The following is an 18,591-nucleotide window of genomic DNA, read 5'->3' as shown; positions in this document are numbered from 1 at the left end:
TCCCAGGGTTACCTGTGAGGCAAGGCATGTCTGTTATTTGTTTCTTTGTCCTTGGTGAAAATATTCTACCTGGATGCTTATGGGAGGAAGTTAACACTGGGGCAGGCTATGACCATTTCCACCTTCTCTGCATTCTTCATACAGATTTTGGACATACTTTGTTATTTTTGAAAATAGATAAGTGGTGTCCAGATGACATCAATGGCCCATCGCATTCAAAGCCTACCTGACCTTTTCCAGGTCACTGCTCTTGAATATTTGGTGATTGGGGTACTCAAAACTGCAAATCAGGCAGCTCAGAGACCCAAACTTGAAGACAGAACTCTTCTATTCCATGAACCTCGCAGTACTATCTCTTCCATGGGGAATGTGGGTGTTGCTGTCTAATGGATGTGTGTCAGCCATAGAGAGTGCTCTGTGCAAGATGATTGGGTTTACTAAAATGTGCATGAGTCAGGCCAACAGGAAGAAGGGGTAGTTAACCTACTGTTTTTACTTCTACTCGGTTTACAAAAATAACTTTCCAGGGACACGTGCTGGTCTGTGCTCAGGGAGTTGATGCCTCACAGGGAGTAGATGACAATCCCACACGCCTCTGAGGCCTCCCCATTGTTACTCATCCTCCCACCTAAGATAGTAAAGGACCATGGGATCAGCATCTCAGGAGAAAAAGGACCCATTAGATCTCTAAACACCAGGAATTTGTAGGCTTTGCCTAGGCGTGACCTTTGCAGCCCATCTCTGTAATTTTGGAATTTCCCTCTTCCTGACTGCTCCGGGAGGGCATGGGGTAGCCTGGTTCTTTTGCTGCCTGCAGCACATCTCTCTGAGGCTAACAGACTTCCTCGCTGTTAATGACAACAACAAGCAGGGGCCTCATGGAAACTCTGCTCTGTTACCCTTCTGGAGACTTCCTGTATTGTTGCTACCTAGAGGAGTATCCATTATTACCATGACTACCATTTGGGTGTGGTTCACTTAGTGTGGGTTTTCCTAGAAGCAGGCCCTGAGACAAAGAACAAGTAATTTATTTGAGAGATGACCCCAGAAATCTCTGGTAGGCGAAGAGGGAGGAAGGCAGGGAAGAGAAAGAGCCAGAAGGGTACATTATCAAGTCAGGGACCACAATGGGCAGTGAGTGCTTAGTCCCAAGAGAAACACTGGGCATAATAAGCATATTGGTTTTGTCAGCACTGGACTTGATCTAACCTCTTGACTGATAAGCCACAGAAAGAAAGAAATTAGGTTTTACGTATTTATGTTCACAGTTTCTTATAATTCTTATAAAAAGGAATTGTATAAGGTTTAAATAAAATGCAAAGTGAGGTTTTTTTTTCTTTTCTTTTCTTTTTTTTTCTACAACACATTCCCTTGCTGTTTGTTTGAACTCACTACATATAATCTGGGCACTAAACCGACACCCCCATCCCATCTCTAAATTATCTCCTGTCTTTGGGGGATGAGTAGAGACAGAGGGACACTCTTAGCTGTCATTGAGGACCTAAGGGGCTTCATTGTCATTCTTTTCTTTACAAATCATAAAATTTGTAAAGGGTAAAATTTGTAAACCCTAAGCCAAGGGTTGCAAAAGAAAGATGCTCTCAGAAGATGAGAGAGAAATAATAGAACCACAGAAAGCACTAAAATGTTTTACAATAAGACTAATGAAGACAAGTTAAAGAAACTGAGATAATGGAATTTGGAGACGACAAAGGAACTATTACATAATAATCTTCAAGTTCTACAGGAGAAGTTTCTTGAAAAGAGAGCAGCCACCTGTTCATGAACTCTGGGAAGAAAAAAAAGTGAACAAAGTGAACATGAAATTAACATGTAGCGTAAAAGATTTAATGGGCATATCAGAGGAAAAATGTTCTGATATTAAGAGTTGTTAAAAAACACTTGTATGACATATGGAAAATGTTATTGAGATTATTTGCTTTGGAGGCATTAAAACCAAAACAGATTCTTCTTGACCAAATGAATAGACATCTGAGGATGCCCCCAAACCTCAAAGATTAATGCCTTTTAAACTATGAGTAGAAGTGAATAAATGAAGGAACAGCACAAATGATAGAACTTTATTTTGGTTTATATAAAGGAAAATAAAATTAAGAAATAGAATTATAGTGCTTGAGCTCAAGGTGGCCGACCAAGGTGGCGTTTACCTCTTTTCTATTTATTAATTCTATGGAGGAGGTAGAAGAAATATGAGTCAATCCACAACAGAATTGGAAAGCTGAAAGAAGGGCCAACAGAAGAGAGAGAGGGATTTCTGGTAGATATGAAACAAGTGGCAACCAATTGAAAGTGAAGCACTACAGAGGTGAGAAAAGGAAAGTGAGATCTCTAAAAAGTCAGTTTCCCTAGAAGAATTACCACAATACTATCAAGAACAGAGACTATGTCAGCCTTACTACTAGAAATTTACTCACAAGAAATGAAAACATAGGTCCACAGAAAGGCTTGTGTAAGAATACTAACATGGTCTTACTCATAATATGCAAAGCAATGGAAACAAACCAAATGTCCATTGATGGGGATATACAAATTGTGATAGAGTTACACAGTGGACTATCATTTAGCAATAAAAGAGAGAAATCTACTGATACACACAAAATAAATGAATCTCAAAAACTTAGTTTAATGAGAGAAGCCAGGCACATGGAAAAATGCAAAAAGTACATTTCCATTTATGTGAAACTCTGGAACAGGCAAAACTAATCTACGGTAATGGAAGCCAGAAATTGGTTGCCTCTGGAAGGAGCAAATTGCCTACAATTGTGCACTAGAAGACTTTCTGGGGTGATGGGGAATGTTCTATATCCTAATTTTGGTGGTAACTATATAGGCATATACAACTGTCAAAAATGAAACTGAACCCTTAAGATTCATCCATTTTATTGCATGTAATTTATATGTAGTTTTAAAAAACTTTAAAAAATGCAGAAAGAGAGAGAGAGAGAAGAGAAGAAAGATAAGGAAAAAGAAAGGAAAGGAAGATAAAAAAGGAAGAAAAAGGAAAGAAAGGGAAAGAAAAAGAAGGGGAGAAAAGAGGCTATAGAATTTAGGAGAAAAGGCTGAGGGCAGGAAGTGGTAGAGCTATTTCATTCAGTCCTGGGTTTCAGAGTGGTTGAGTTTGACATTTGCATCTGATATTTACTATGAGCGTTCAGTTATGAAATATTTCCTAAACAAGACACTGGGGTTGAAATAGCCAGAAGAATGCCTCGAGACATAAGACACAATTAAACAACAGAAATAAAAGTATGAGAAGAAAAATTCAGAGACATGAAAGATAGATCTTGAAATCTCAATGTTAGTTTCAATCTCTAACAGGAGTTCCAGAAAAAGAGTACAGGGATATTGGAAATACCAAAGATATAACTAAAGAAATTTTTTCAAGCTGGAGACAAAGTTTAGACTTCAGAATGAAAGGGTCCACCATATGCTGAACAGGACTAACAGCTAAAGCCCTGAATCTAAACACAACCTGGTAAAATTTCCGAACATTAAAATAAAGGAAAAAAATCATAAAAGCATCAAGTTTTTAAAAAAATCACCTACAAAGAAATGGTATTAGACTTCTCATCTGAAATATGAGATGGTATCAAAAATTAAATTCTATTCTTAAAATTCTTAGGGGGGAAATAAGATAGAAGACAGCCAACTGCCAAATTAGCATTTAATTCTGAGAATCAAATAAAGATATGTCTAAAGATATAGGTTCTTATAGAGTTTATAATTAATAAATTCTCTCTGAAAAAATTTTTGAAACTGTGTTCTAGCAAAATAAAAGATGAAAGTATGAGATTGAAGCAGCAGCAGCAGGCCAGGCACAGTGGCTCACACCTGTAATCCCAGCATTTTGGGAGGCCAGGACGGGCAGATCACCTGAGATGAAGAGTTCGAGACCAGCCTGGCCAACATGGTGAAACTCCATCTCTACTAAAAATACAAAAATTAGCCGGGCATGGTGGTGGGTACCTGTAATCCCAGCTATTTGGGAGGCTGAGGCACGAGAATCGCTTGAACCCGGGAGAGGGAGGTTGCAGTGAGCTGAGATCACACCACTGCACTCCTGGACTCCAGCCTGGGCAACAGAGCTAGACTCCATCTCAAAAAGAAAAAAAAAAAAAAAAAGGCAGCAGCAGCTAGATAAAGAAATAAGTAAATCTTAGAATTAAGTCTAAATAATTATTGGTAGTATAATAAAACTGGTAAGAATTGATTCCTAAGATAGACATTATTAATATAGCTTATTAATAAGAAAGATATTTAAATTAAAAAGTTGGGGCCGGGCGCGGTGGCTCACACCTGTAATCCCAGCACTTTGGGAGGCAGAGGCGAGAGGATCATGAGGTCAGGAGATCGAGACCATCCTGGCTAACAGGGTGAAACCCCGTCTCTACTAAAAATACAAAAAATTAGCCAGGCATGGTGGCGGGCGCCTGTAGTCCCAGCTACCCGGGAGGCTGAAGCAGGAGAATGGCGTGAAGCCAGGAGGCAGAGTTTGAAGTGAGCCAAGATCGCGCCACTGCACTCCAGCCTGGGTGACAGAGCAAGACTCCGTCTCAAAAAAAAAAAAAGAAAAAAGTTGGGCTGGGCATGGTGGCTCACACCTGTAATCCCAGCACTTTGGGAGGTCGAGGCGGGCAGATCATGAGGTCAGGAGATTGAGACCATCCTAGCTAACACGGTGAAACCCTGTCTCCACTAAAAATACAAAAAAATAGCTAGGCATGGTGGCATGTGCCTGTAGTCCCAGCTACTCGGGAGGCTGAGGCAGGAGAATGGTGTGAACCCAGGAGGTGGAGCTTGCAGTGAGCCAAGATAGCGCCACTGCACTCCAGCCTGGGAGATAGAGTGAGACTCCATCTCAAAATAAATGAATAAATTTGAAAAAAGTAAATTAAAAAGTCAAAAAAAGTTTGAAAATAAAGGTTGGAAAAGACACCCAAACAAATTCTAAAAGGAAGAAAGAGCAGAAGTTGCAATATTAATATGACACAAAAAAGTATTCAAGACAAAAGGCAATAAAAGAGATAAAGAGTTTCACCTTGATAAAAATACAGTCACCTAAAAGGACACTTTATGTCCTTGCACTATGGGTTCTAAAAATGTAAATCAAAAATTAGGAGAACAAAGATAAAAAGATGCCTATGATTCCTCCCTGTACGCATGCTCTTCTTTAATGTGACTTTGCTGCTCCTCCCATCAAGAAGTGGAAACTATTTCTTGTCCACTAGAATCTAAGCAACCACATGGTTTGGCTAATAGAATACAGCTGAAATGAAGTTGTGCAAACTCATCAATAGGTCTTGCAATTTCTGCTTTTATTCTCTTGCTGCTCTGAGTCCACCATGTAAAGATATATGAGCTAGACTCCTTAAGGATGAGAGATTATATGGAGAGCAAACCTAAGTGACAGCAAGCACCAACTATCAGACAAATGAGTGAGGTATTTTTGGACCACCTAGCCCACATGAAGCCAACAGATGGCCACAGCTACATGAGTAATATCAGGTGAAATCACCAGAAGAACCACTCAGCTGAGCCCAAGCAAGGTGCTGTCATACAAATTCATGAAGAAATAAAATGGTGGTTGTGTTAAGCCACTAAATTTTAGGGTGGTTTGTTCTGCAGCAATAGCTAAGTGAAACAATTGTCAATCATTAAAAAAAAAAATTCCAGTAAAAGTAATCAGCCTGACTGGAAAACGAGCAGGTAAGTCACAAAATAAGAAACACAAATGGCTATTGACTTTCTTGTATTAAGTACAGATAAATTATGCTTTTGCTTCTACTGCTATAAGTGGCTTGGATGAACTCCTAAATCCAAAGCAGTGAATACAAGAAGCTAAGCTGTTTTACTGAAGGCAATAAAGGGATAAAAGATGGAAAGTGTTCATAAAGATGATAGTTAGGAAACAGAGAACAAAGACATTTTACTACATTCGAGAGTTTGGTTTGCTTTAATGTTATTGTAAAAATAATCAAATTGGTGTTTTATAATACTTGCTTAAATCTCACTGCCTTAATGAGTTCTGACTTACTACTAAAAATATATAGAAATTCATGATTCTAAAACTGACTGAGATTTAGTGGAAAGGCAATCATTTGAATTTCAGACAAAGGAGATACCTTTATTAGTACTATTATTGCCTATGGATTCTATATTTTGTCTTCCAGATGACTTTTATTATATATCTATATCTATATCCATATCTATGTATGTTTTATCATTAACATTAATTAAATATATGTGAAAGAACTAATCTGAGTATCTGATTAATATGAGACAAACTTATTCTAATGAACTAAGATTCAAAAGCAAGAAAAAGTTGATGTTTCCATGCATTTTAATGCAGCTACTGCAGATAGTTTTCTCATTTCTTACTAGATATTTTAAAAATACTGACAACCATTCAAAGACTAACATTTTTATTTTCATCAGCCAGTTACCCAATATGGAGAGTGTACTCAAAACTTTTTACTGCCACCTTGTAACATCGTACCTATTAATGTTTTGAGCACACTAGGGCATACTAGGGGAGACAGTCATACAAAGAGTCAAAAATGTAACCCCTAGTGCGCTGAAACTACAAAAAAAGTTAGATAACATTTATACATATATGTGTATTATGTATATATAATGTATGTGTATATATACATATATGTCATAGTTAACACAGTAAGACTGTCAAGATACATTTGAAAATGTAAATTGTTAAAAGCCTTTCTCTCTCTTGAGTGTATGACTTTATCAAGAACTTGCAGTAGAAATATGCTTCAAATAGCTCCCCACTATAAAATAACGAAAATAAATGAAGAAGCTTCTAGCTGTGCAACCTTGGGCAAATTACCTAACCTCAGTTTCTCCTTTTGAAACAGGGATAATGATAGCACCTAATTCCCGGGATTTTTGTGAGGATTAAGAAAGCTAGTATGGGCCGGGCGCGGTGGCTCACGCCTGTAATCCCAGCACTTTGGGAGGCCAAGGCGGGCGGATCATGAGGTCAGGAGAGTGAGACCATCCTGGCTAACACGGTGAAACCCCGTCTCTACTAAAAATACAAAAAAAAAAAAAATTAGCCGGGCGTGGTGGCAGGCGCCTGTAGTCCCAGCTACTTGGGAGGCTGAGGCAGGAGAATGGCATGAACCCGGGAAGTGGAGGTTGCAGTGAGCAGAGATCGCGCCACTGCACTCCAGCCTGGGCGACAGAGCAAGACTGCGTCTCAAAAAAAAAAAAAAAAAAAAAAGAAAGAAAGCTAGTATGTGTAAAGTGCTAAGAACAGTGCCTGCCACATAAAAGGCACTTAATAAATCTTAACTATTATTGTTGCTTTTCTTACTACTACTTTATTGGGCGTCCTTGATATATCCTTAAATAAGAATGTGTCCCTTTTTAAGTGAATACAAACATACTACAATTCAGGTAAATAAACTCACCATTGCATATTTCTGACTAAGACAACCTTATATTTTAGAAGGTTGTACACAGAGATAAAAACAATAAAAATGATGTATATGGATTGATTAATTTTCTGATTGTGAAGAAGGATTTTAGTAGCTCAGGATAGCACAGAACCAACAAATTTAGATGATGTTTAAGACTTGGGTTTAAAATGTCTGGTAAAAAGAAAGAATACAGTGTCCACAGTTTTGTCTTCAAATACACCTGCTACTAGCAAATTCACTTTCTGGGGCCTGAAAACGATGGACTAATAAATGTCTTTTGCAGACCTCCTCATTTGGCAGAACATTCTTCTTTTGACTTATAATACCTTCAGAGAGTCAGAGGGCCAAAGAAATAACTTTGGTCAGGAAGAGTATAAAACTTTTATAATAACAAATTACAAAACAGCAAAATTATGAACTAAACTGCTAAACTCATCATTCTGCTTGGAAAAGTGTGTGCATTGAGTGGACAGTCTCACCGAACACTATTACAAGATAAGCTGAAGCTGGTGGATTAGCAGCTACTTGGGACTCAAGATATTTCTAGGAGCATAACTCTTTCTAAATCCCCCATTTGTTGTGTCCTCTTGGGGCAGTTCTTCAGCCAAAGCCCCTTTTGAGAATTCAGTCCACTTCCCTTTTAGAACTGCCACTTCCACCAGCTGCTTCTCTCATTACCTTACTGTTCAAGCGGAAAAGGCCAACCCCGGGTTATTCTAATGATAGCAAACACCTCATAAAGTAATCTGCCAAATTTACTTTTCCACAGAACATCATTTTTATGGCTTTTCATGAGTCCATGAGGAAAGAAAGCATCATGTATAAAATATAACTTCCAGAAATCTTGAAGATATTAAGAATTATCTCCGCAGTGTTAGATTGGTGGGTGCCCCAGTCTATAGGATGGTGGCATCTTCAACTTCCGCATAGAAATTCCCTCAGTCTGTCACTGTACTTATCTACCCACGGGAGAAGGTGAGAGAACCCACAAAGTTAGGACATTTTTAGAAATGTCTCAAAGTTAAAACAACTTTAAGCTTTGGGGTGTGTACTTTTCTACTGTTTTGTAATTGCGTGCAATAATCACCTTGCTTTAGTCTATCCTGGTAGAGACAAAATTTGGTGTAATCAAGAGTTTGGAATGTCTGAACTTTGACAAGTTTTTTAACCTCTCTGTACCTCAGTTTTTGCATCTGTAAATGAGGCTATATTAACAGTACCATGTCTTGTAAGATTATGGTTAAATTAAGTGAGTTAAATTCTGTAAAGTACTTAAAACGGTGGCACGTAGTAAACACAATGGAAGTGTTTTATTAGTTTTCTCTTTACGGTAAAGTTTTTCGCAATAAATTGTATAAAGATGTAAAAAGTGAATTATCAAAGACAATGAATATAAAGGCCTTTGGGAACAATGAATAATGCTTATTTCATTTTATTTATTTATTTATTTATTTTATTTTATTTTATTTTATTTTATTTTTTTTTTGAGACGGAGTCTCGCTCTGTCGCCCAGGCTGGAGTGCAGTGGCGCGATCTCAGCTCACTACAACCTCCCGGGTTCAAGCAATTCTCCTGCCTCAGCCTCCCGAGTAACTGGGACTACAGGCGTGCGCCACCACGCCCAGCTAATTTTTGTATTTTTAGTAGAGACGGGGTTTCACCATGTCGGCCAGGATAGTCTCCAACACCTGGCCTGAGGTGATCCACCCGCCTCTGCCTGCTAAAGTGCTGGGATCACAGGCGTGAGCCACCGCGCCTGGTTTGAGCAGATTTTAGGAGCCAGAGAATCCCCTCTGCCTCCTGGGAAAATCCCTGCTTGCTTTTGCCTATGCTCCAAGTTTACAGTTGTCCCACCCCTAGACTCAAGGAAAGGCGCTAACATAGCGGCAGGAAATGCCTAGCTGGGCAATTCTATTCCTAAGTCAGAACTCACATTATGTCTGACCGTCCACTACGCCCTCTCCTTGCCCTGAAGTTGAAATGGATAAACAGAATCCCATTGCTAAAGCGACCTTCAACGGGGAAGATCCTTGGGAGAAAGACTTTGCTACAAGTTTAAAAGCCCCAGGTAACCCTGGCCCAAATCACTACCGGTGCCTTCACTCTGCACCTTCCCCATGACCAAGGGGGCACAAGGGGGGAGGGGGGAACCTCAGGCGAGGCTCCCGGAGGAAGAGGAACACTGGAAGCAAGGGAACCCTGAGGGTGAGGAGGGGATGCCTGGCTATTCTCCTTGGGAAATTATGTCCTGACCTTTGGCATTGCTTCCTAAAGGGGTAGACTCCCGGAGTTCTTTCTCCCAAAGACTTCAGGGATATCATCCTATAAAGTCTCCTTGCGTCCCTCCAGCCTCGAGTAACATTACTCAGCCTCCGAAGGGCAACGAAAGACTGGTAGCACCCCCAAGCAAGCACATTCTCCACACTTCCTCTGCTCATCCCAAACCTCGCTCCTTCCCACCTCCCCACCAACCCCGCACCTGACCCGTGACAGACAGAACTGAAGGAGCGCAGCCCGCAGACCTGGAAGCCGGGTGCAGCCTCCAGGCACGTGCCCCCGCTCCGCCTCTGCCTAAGTCAAGTGGCCCGGGCAAAACTACTGCCAAAACAGTTGCTCTTAGGTGGGGCAGGGGACCTGCCTCCCTGCATCCACCCGGCACTAGCTCAGCACCCCCGCCCCACAAACCGTCCCCGCAGCCGCGCACGGCCCTCTCCGGCGGCGCACTCACCTGCAGCTGGGCTTGGCTGGCGTTGCCCGCGGCCGCGTCGGGCCCGTCGGCGGCTCCCGAGCCGCGCAGCACGGTGATGTGCAGCGTGAGCAGCAGCAGCCCCAGCAGCAGCAGCAGCTCGGCCGCCAGGCGCACCATCCTTTTGAGACGCGCGGCTTTAGGACCCGGCGCGGCGGCCGGCGGCGGCGGCGGTGACGCCGGGGGAGGAGGAGTAGGAGCCCGGGAGCCCGGCAGCGCGGCTCCCGCCTCGGCTCCCGCCAGGGCTCCGCTTCCCGGGCCCGCGGGGCTGGCGCTGGGCGCGGCGGGGTGTGCGGGGCCGGGGGAGCAGGAGCTGCCGGCGCCGCCGCCGCCGCCGCCGCCGCACCACGGCGGAGCCACCGCGAGGCCGGGGGTGTCCAAGCCGGCTGCGGAGCAAGCCCCGGCGCTGCCTGGCGGCGGCGGCGGCGGAGACGGAGACTGGGTCCCGGGACAGCCCGGGACCCGGGCCGGGCCGGAGGCCACCCTGCTGGCAGGGGGCTGCGGGGTCGGCGGCGGGGCGGGCGCAGCCGAGCCCCCGAGCGCACATGGGCGCCCCAGATGTGGCCGCGGCGCCGCAGCTGGAGCGGGAGCGGCCGCCAGAGAAGCGCGGGGAGGAGGAGGAGGAGAAGGAGAAGGAGGAGGAGGAGGAGGAGGAGGAGGAGGAGGAGGAGGAGGAGTAGGAGGGCTTCAGCTGCGGCCGGGAGTTACCTCCACGCTTGGCGCCCCCGCCCTCGCCGCCCCGAGCCACTCACCCGGCAAGCCACCTCCACTACTCTCCGCGCTCCTCGGGGCCGCCTGCCGCGCCGCCCCGCACTCGGAGTCCCGGGGAGGGCCGGTTCCAGATGGGGGCCCCGGGCACACCGAGGTTGTCACGGTTTGGCGGTAGCCGGGGCGCCCTCGGCGGCAGCGTCAGCCTGCCGGGCTGTACCAAGTGCCCGCTGCCGAGGTCGCTGTGACGGGCGCGGGTAGAGCCCTTGTGCACACTGAGGCTCGGGGCTGTGGGTGGGTGGGGTGGTGCCTGGGCTGCTTTAGAAACCTTTATTGGCAAACTGGAGCTGGAGTTGCAGTGATGGAAAACGGAGGGGGCGCCGGACAAGCCATGCGTCTGCCTGCGACCCCTGCCTGAAGCAGTCGGGGGAGAGGAGGAGTGCCAAAGTGTCGTTCCGAAGGGTCTTGACACTTGCTGGGCCGCCCGCTAGCCGGGCACGGCTGTTCGCGGATCCGCGGCGCCCCGTAGAGCCTGGGAAGGGAGGGGAGTCCGACTCTCTAGGCGTTCGTCTGGTCACGGGCGCAGGTGTTGGCTGGAAGCTGCAGAGACGCAGTGCCCGCGGCTCAGGCGCTCAGGAACTCGGAGTGAATCTCAGCTCTAGTGGGCTTGCCTCTGTGGGGGGCTCATCCCGGGGGTGCCGCGCCCAGAGGGGATTTGGGGGCTGGCGTCGCGCAGCTGTCGATCCCGGGCCACCGCCTCATGACCGCGCTGCAGCCTCGGGCTCCCGCGTGCGGCTCATGCCTTGCAGTGGGCGGTTGGCGAATGGAAGGGCTCTGGGATCCGGCTGAGGGCGCGGAGTCCGAGCGTCAGATGCTAGAGCGAACTGTGTCGGTCCGTGGCACCGCGCACTTCCCTCCTTGACCTTGCTCGGGCTCCCGCCTTACCGAAGTGACTCGGAGTAGCGGACGCTCAGTCCGGCCGGGACTTTTATACTGCGCTTCCCCTCCTCCTACCCGTTCCCTCCCTTCCTCCTCCCCAGCGCCGGCCCAGCCCTTCCCTCCCAGCGAGCCAAGACCTAGTCCACGCGTTCGCACACAGCCGCGTCGCACATTTCCAAGCCTTTCCCGCGTCCCGGACCCCAGTGCCTCCGGGATGGAGCCTCCGAATTCTCCCTTGGTGAATGAAATTAAATAAATAATCAACTCTTTCTTGACGGCACGCCTCCCTTTCCCCCTCCCCAATTTCCTACCTTCCTTCTCCGCGTCCTAGAAAGATTTAAGATTCTTAATTCAACTGCTTTCGAGTTCTCGCAAGGCATCTCAACCAAGTATTAACCAAATTAAGGCAAACCCTTGCGCCTTTGCGAAGGTTCCTCCGGTCACCGCGGTACTTTGCAGAATTTAAATAGCGGTAGTTAAGGTAGGGTCTGCTGGTTGGGCTTATTTGTGCCCGGGAGAGGAAGGGCTTGCTGCCTCCTTAAAGATGCCTGAAGCATCTTTAAAATTCTAACTAACTCCAGCATCTTATTAATAAATTGGCAGCTGTTTATAGAGTCTGCTATATTTTTTCCTTTTCATTATTTTTTTTTGGGTGGGGAACGGTGCGAGGGAGGAGGGGAGATGTTTGGAGGGGTGCTTGCTTTGGATTTTTAGGCAGCCGGGCCTGTCAGACATCTTATTTCTATCTCTAGGCTCTAAAATGCCAATAATTGTCACTGGAGTGCGGGTCGGGGGGAGTGGGGGGAAACGCGAAACAATAACCGTCCGTATTTCAGATGGGAGATCAAAGAGGGGATCCCAGCAGCTTTTAAATCCTGGAAGGATCCTCCTGTGTGTTTTCTAATTAGGATCACTTAAAAGGGAAAGGGCTGGAGAATCAGCGCCGAAATAGAATGTATAAATTAAGATGGCAAACTAGAATCCCACAGCCAAAGAGTTTTAAGGATTGTTCTAACCTCCAGTTGTGCCAGATTATGATACGGGCTCGCAGGAACAAATGACTTTCCTATTGCCAGAGGCAGGCTGGTCTGAATTAGGATCCAGGGGCCGCTGTGTCCTGCCCTTTCATCACACACAGTCTCCACATGTAAACCTCAGCTGCTTCTCCTCTCATCTAAAAGTAACAGTTTTGGACCCAAGGCAAAAATGACCTTTAAAAAACTCTGGAAAGAAACCTTTGCAATGAATGTAAATTCTTGTAAAATAATTTGTAAATGGAGATTTGGAGATCAAAGTCTTTGTAAAATGTTGTAAAAATTGTAAATTGAATTTTGGGGACAGATGTCTTTATAAAATGTTGAACAAATGTATGAATGAATCCTATTAAAATCCCTTCACGCTGAGAGATCCCCATTCCAGGTGAATTTATGTTCCAGTAAGCACATATAACGAGTATTGATAAACACCCACGCTCTGATTCCAGTTGCCGAACCAGGCTTGCCAGCAGGGCTCTGTTTTTGAGTTAGGGAACACGGGCTTACAATTTTTGTGGAAAAACAATTACAAATTTAATAGACTAAACCAATTAAGTTTCAAGCACATTTATGAAATTGTACCAATAGCTGATAAAAATGTTTAAAATCCTACCTCCTTCAGCAGAGCGTCCAGAGCACCCTATTCATATCGTTATTACTGATTTTATGACACTTGGGGCACTTGTGTCTGTTTGCATGTCTGTTTTCCCACTAGACCTTGATTGGGATCACCTTTGTGGTAGAACATTTCAGAGCATCGCCCCACTCCCCACCTCCATCCCAGTATCTAGTTTTCTTTCTGGGTTCATGGCTATGAGACATTTTCTAGGTATACTTGGATCTAGGTTTGGGCTGTGAAGAGCTTTTTTCCTTCCAGGTTGACCATAAAACATCCTGAGTGATTATCTGCACACACTCTCTCTTTCCTTTTTTTTTTCTTTTTCATTCATTCATTCTTTTTTTTTTTTTGACAGAGTCACTCTGTCACCCAGGCTGGAGTGTAGTGGTGCGATCTCAGCTCACTGCAGCCTCTGCTTCCCAGGTTCAAGCAATTCTCCTTCCTCAGCTTACGGAGTAGCTGGGATTACAGAATCCTGCCCCCACGCCTGGCTGATTTTTGTACTCTTTAGTAGAGAGAGATTTTCACCGTATTGGCCAGGCTGGTCTCAAACTCCTGACCTCAAATGATCCACCCGCTTCGGCCTCCCAAAGTGCTGGGATTACAGGCATGAGCCAACGTGCCCAGCCCTCTCTTTCCTTTCTACATGGCAAAGGACTCTGAGGTGAAAGGAACTCAAATTGAGTTACTGCTCAAAAGAGAAAAATTGGACCAGGAATATCTGCATTGAACCTTGAGCAAGTGAGATAAAACTTTGTTCATAGACATTGTGATGTAGGGATGTTTGCACAGCAGCTGGTATAATAGTATATACATCCTGACAAGTATAATCTTTGAGACAATGCCTTGCACAGAGTAATTCTCAATTAGTGTTTTTAAAATGCATGTAACAAATCTGGTATTTGTTTATACCCCAAGTAATAGATTACCTTTCCTAGGAGTGCTTGTACTATAGGTGTCTGACATTAACTTTTATAACCATTCTGCCTCTTGATTGTACTATTCTCACGTAGATTTTGTCTTTCATTATTGGTCCCATTTATCTTACAGGCAGGCTTATTTGACTGGAATATTTTAAGGAAGTAAGAGAAATTAATAAGCCAGAACACCTGTAGTTACTATCATTGCAGAGAACCTTGTGGCCTATTATGACTAGGATTTTATTGTTTTTATTTTATTTTGCCAAAGAGTGGTACAACATAGCAAAGAGTAGTTTCAATGTAATCCTTAATTTTTTTTACTATGGAAAGTTTTTAATATATACAAAAGTAAAGAGAATAATATACTAAATCCTTACTCATAAGCCAGCTTCAACAAAACTTATGGCCAATCTTGTCTTACCTGCATTCTCAGTATTTTCAAAAATTTCCTCCGTTTCAGATTATTTTAAGCAAATTCATGATATGTCATTTCATATGTACATATTTCAGTATGCATCTCAAAAAGGTAAGGGCTCAATTAAGCAATGTTTTTTAAACACATGCATATTGAATCTGAGCTTTAAAACAGATTTGAGAAGTCACAGCCAGAGACGTTTTCTGGGTGTGAGAATGATTAGTATTTAGGGATTGTGGTGGAGGCTGTTCTGTGTTCCCCAAAACCTGTTTCTTCCTGGGCATTCTAGTACACTTCATTTCTCAGTATCCTATGCTCGTGACTGAATTCTGGCCAATAGAATATGGGTGGATTAATGTGTGTCCCTTTCAGATCTAGCCCATAAAAACTTCCTGTTCATGATCTTTTCTTTTTTACCCCTGTCTGCTGGCTGGATGTTTTTGCCCAGGGTAACCTTAGAGCAATGATCAGTCTGGGTCTCTGGAGCAGAGTCCCTACCTGACCCCTACGTTTGCCCAAGAACACCCTGGCTGGGCTATTGTGTAATTGAGAAATAAACTTTTTTAAAAAATGTGTGAAGCCATTAAACTTTTGTGGTTTGTTCCAGGAACTTTCATTACCCTAACTAGGGGGCAATGTTCTGAGGCTGGAGGGATGGCAAACTTTTTCTTTAGAGGGCAAGATGTTAAATATTTTTTGTCTTTGTGGGCTGTAAGGTCCCTTTGGCAATTAATCAACTCTGGTGTTGCAGTGGGAAACCAGTCATAGAAAATACATGAAGGAATGGGTATAGCTGTGTTTTAATAAAATTTCGTGTATACAGCTAGGCAGCTGGACCACATGACTTAGTTTGTCAACCGCTGTCCTAAGGGACTGGGCACAACCTCACCACCTTGTTTTAGAGGCTGTATATGAAGGAATTAGTCAGATGGACTTCACTTACTATTTTATCTCCCTAGTCTCAGTTTCCTCGTCTGCCTCATCTGTAAGTTGGGGCTAAGAATGTCTACTCTCAGGCTGTTGTGAAGTTCAACTATCACTCTCACATGGAGGAAAAAGCAAGTCATTCTAGGTCTCTGTCTGATCGATACAGGACTCCACATTCTGTCCATGAGGGCAGTGTGCTTGTTTGCCTCATTCACTTCTGAATTCACATAGTAAATGCTCCATAAATATCTATTCAATGAATGAAACTTTTAGAAAACTGCTGAAATTTGGAGCTCCAAGGAGCCTTAGAGGTAAACTGGAAGCCCTCAAGGAAACACAAACGAACAGAAAGCCTGAAGTGTTGTTCCATTAGAGCCTCTCCTTTGAACTACGAAGGGGTCACAGTGCTCAGAAATGAGAAAATCACCACAATCAGAGGTGCTCCCAGGGTCTCCACCCCTGAAAGCAGCTGCCAGGCTTGTGGGACACCTGGATCGCCAGCAACATTCCACTTCCCTATGCTCCAACACACACAAAACCTATGAAGACTGGGGTTCACCTGTAGCTCTTTTCACTTCATGCTAAAAGCCCCTAGCTGTACAGAGAATGCAAGAGACCACCAAATAGGTGAGTTTCTGAGGAGGTCAAGAAACTATTCCAGAGGGAGTGCTATTCTTCCCCAGAACAAGGCTGGAGCGGTGGTGAAATAGGACCGGCTTCTTGGAAGCATTCCTGATGATTCTCCCTGACATGCCAGACTCCTTTACTGCATTTCTGTGTGATATTAAAACATAATGACCTGCTCCTCCAGTGACCTCTTCTGCAAATAGCCAACCCTTATAGTTCCTATCTGCATTGAAAAGAGACCCCTTTATTGCATTTGCTTTGTTGTTATTATTTCCGTGCAAATTCTGGAAAGCAAAATAGAATCTCAGGCACATGTTATAACTGGGGGAGAAAAGTGCATCATAATTACAAGGTTATGTAATTTCCAGGCAAAAAAGAGAACAAACTATTTGGTCAGAATTAAATCTTGGGGTCTACATGTTGGGAAGGGCCCACAGAGTTCATTTAGCTTCCTTTACAGTTGAGGCAACAGGCCCAGAGAATTAAATAGACATTCTCAATATTGCACAGGGACTTGGTAGCAGCATCAGGACAAGAGCCCAGGTTTCCTAACTTCCAAGACCAACGTGCTTTGTATTTCTCAAAGTAAACTTTCAAAAATTAAAGTATGCTGTACATATAGAAAACAGCATGTATCCTGGGTGCATATCCAAATGGAATTTTTGCTACTCCGATCAAGAAACAGAATGTTACCAGTACCCCAGAAGCCAATTACCTGAAAGTTACCAATATTCTGACTTCTCTCACCATACATTTGATTTGCCTTTGAAAATTAATATAATTGAATTTTACAGTATATACTCTTTTGTGTCTGGCTCCTTGCGCCATCCTCTATTACTTTTTGCTTTAAAATAAATGGAAAGCTATAGAAAAGTTGCAAGCATAATTGAATGAACATCTGTAGTTCCTTGTGGTAGACTGTTTAAAATGACCACAGTTTTCTCACCATTGTCTCCAGGCTTTTTACAAGCTGGCTTTGTACCCGTGGAATCCTTGTGATTTACTTTCACTAGCAAAACGCAGCAGAGGTGATGTTGTACCAGTTCTGTGGTTAGGTTTCAATAAGCTTTACATGCCTCCTTTCTCTCTCAATCTCTCTCTCTGTCTCTGTCTTTCTGTCTCTCTCTCTCTCTCTCTCTCTCTCTGTGTGTGTGTGTGTGTGTGTGTGTGTGTGTGTGTGTGTGTGTGCCTGTCTCTGTATTGGAACTTTCCCACTGCTATGTTGGTAATCCAGGACTAGCCTGCTGGAGTGATCCTAGTCACCACTGTTGCCCCAGCTGACACCTGCCTATTCTCAGAAGCAGAGCCACCTAGTAGACCTACAGTTCATCGCAGACACATAAGAGAGCTTAAGAGAACACAGCTGAAACCAGAGAAAGCACCCAGGTAAGCTGAGCCTAAATAGAATAAGGGGCAAAATAAATGGTTGCTCTTGTGAATAGGGTAGTTCATCACACAGAGAAACCTGCTAAATACAACCTTTCACCTCAAATACTACAGTAGGTATTTCTTAAGAGTAAGGAGATCCTCCTACATCATCACAGCATAATTCTCAGGACGTTTAACATCAACACAATAATATGATCTAACTTATAAACCACATTCAAATGGTTCAAATTGTCCCTATAATATTCTTTACAGCGACTCTTTTCTGTCCAGGATTCAGGTGAGAATCACTCTGCATTTTATTGTCATTGTCATGTCTGTTTATCACCTTCGGTCTTCAACAGTCCACATCTCCCAGTCCTCCTTTTTCTTTTGGTCTTTTGTGCCATTAACATTCTTTGAAAGCCTAGGTCAGCTGATTTTGCAGAATGCCCTTCAGTTTGTATTTGTATGTTTGTTTCTCTAGGATTAATTTCGGATTATGTGTTTGGGCTAGGGATACTGCCTGGATAATGTTATGTTCTTCTCAGTGCATCACATCAGGGAGTCCCTGATGAGATTTTTCCCAATTGTGGGTAAATCTATTTCAAGATACGGAGATGCTAAGTCATTTTTGTGAGGTTAAATGGGAAAAATTCTTGATTGAGAATATGTTGGTGTGTTGGCTATCTTTTTCTTATGTGTGGAGAAAGGGGAAACATGAGTTCATCTAATTTCCTGGGAATTTACTTCACTTTGTTCCAAGTTGTTTGTCAACATCATCCAACTCCCTCAGGGCAGTGGGCTGTGACCATATTAGAGGAGGGCTGT

The 18,591-nt window shown here is 43.8% G+C and overlaps 2 protein-coding genes across 3 annotated transcripts in view, besides 2 other annotated features; one reads left to right on the top strand and one right to left on the bottom strand.

Annotated features, from left to right (window-relative positions):
• Positions 1-10,829, bottom strand: part of ISM1 (isthmin 1) — a 105,450-nt gene extending 94,621 nt beyond the window's left edge. For both annotated transcript variants that reach the window (XM_017027680.2, NM_080826.2), the window contains exon 1: positions 10,189-10,829. In XM_017027680.2, coding sequence (XP_016883169.1) covers positions 10,189-10,326 — 138 coding nt within the window. In that variant the 5' untranslated portion in view covers positions 10,327-10,829. The remainder of the gene's footprint in view (positions 1-10,188) is intronic.
• TASP1 (taspase 1) overlaps positions 1-18,591 on the top strand; it is a 534,161-nt gene that overhangs the window by 406,830 nt on the left and 108,740 nt on the right. The window lies entirely within an intron of this gene.
• Positions 10,398-10,467: a silencer, noted in NCBI's record as "silent region_12678". NCBI's record gives its function as "represses an Ori minimal core promoter by ATAC-STARR-seq in GM12878 lymphoblastoid cells {active_cell/tissue: GM12878}" and the evidence as "EXISTENCE:reporter gene assay evidence [ECO:0000049][PMID:35858748]".
• Positions 10,927-11,046: a silencer, noted in NCBI's record as "silent region_12677". NCBI's record gives its function as "represses an Ori minimal core promoter by ATAC-STARR-seq in GM12878 lymphoblastoid cells {active_cell/tissue: GM12878}" and the evidence as "EXISTENCE:reporter gene assay evidence [ECO:0000049][PMID:35858748]".

This window comes from Homo sapiens, chromosome 20 (assembly GCF_000001405.40).
Source record: "Homo sapiens chromosome 20, GRCh38.p14 Primary Assembly".
NCBI lineage: Eukaryota > Metazoa > Chordata > Mammalia > Primates > Hominidae > Homo > Homo sapiens.
The sequence above is the reverse complement of the archived record's forward strand: the minus strand, read 5'-3'. Positions and strand labels throughout refer to the sequence as shown.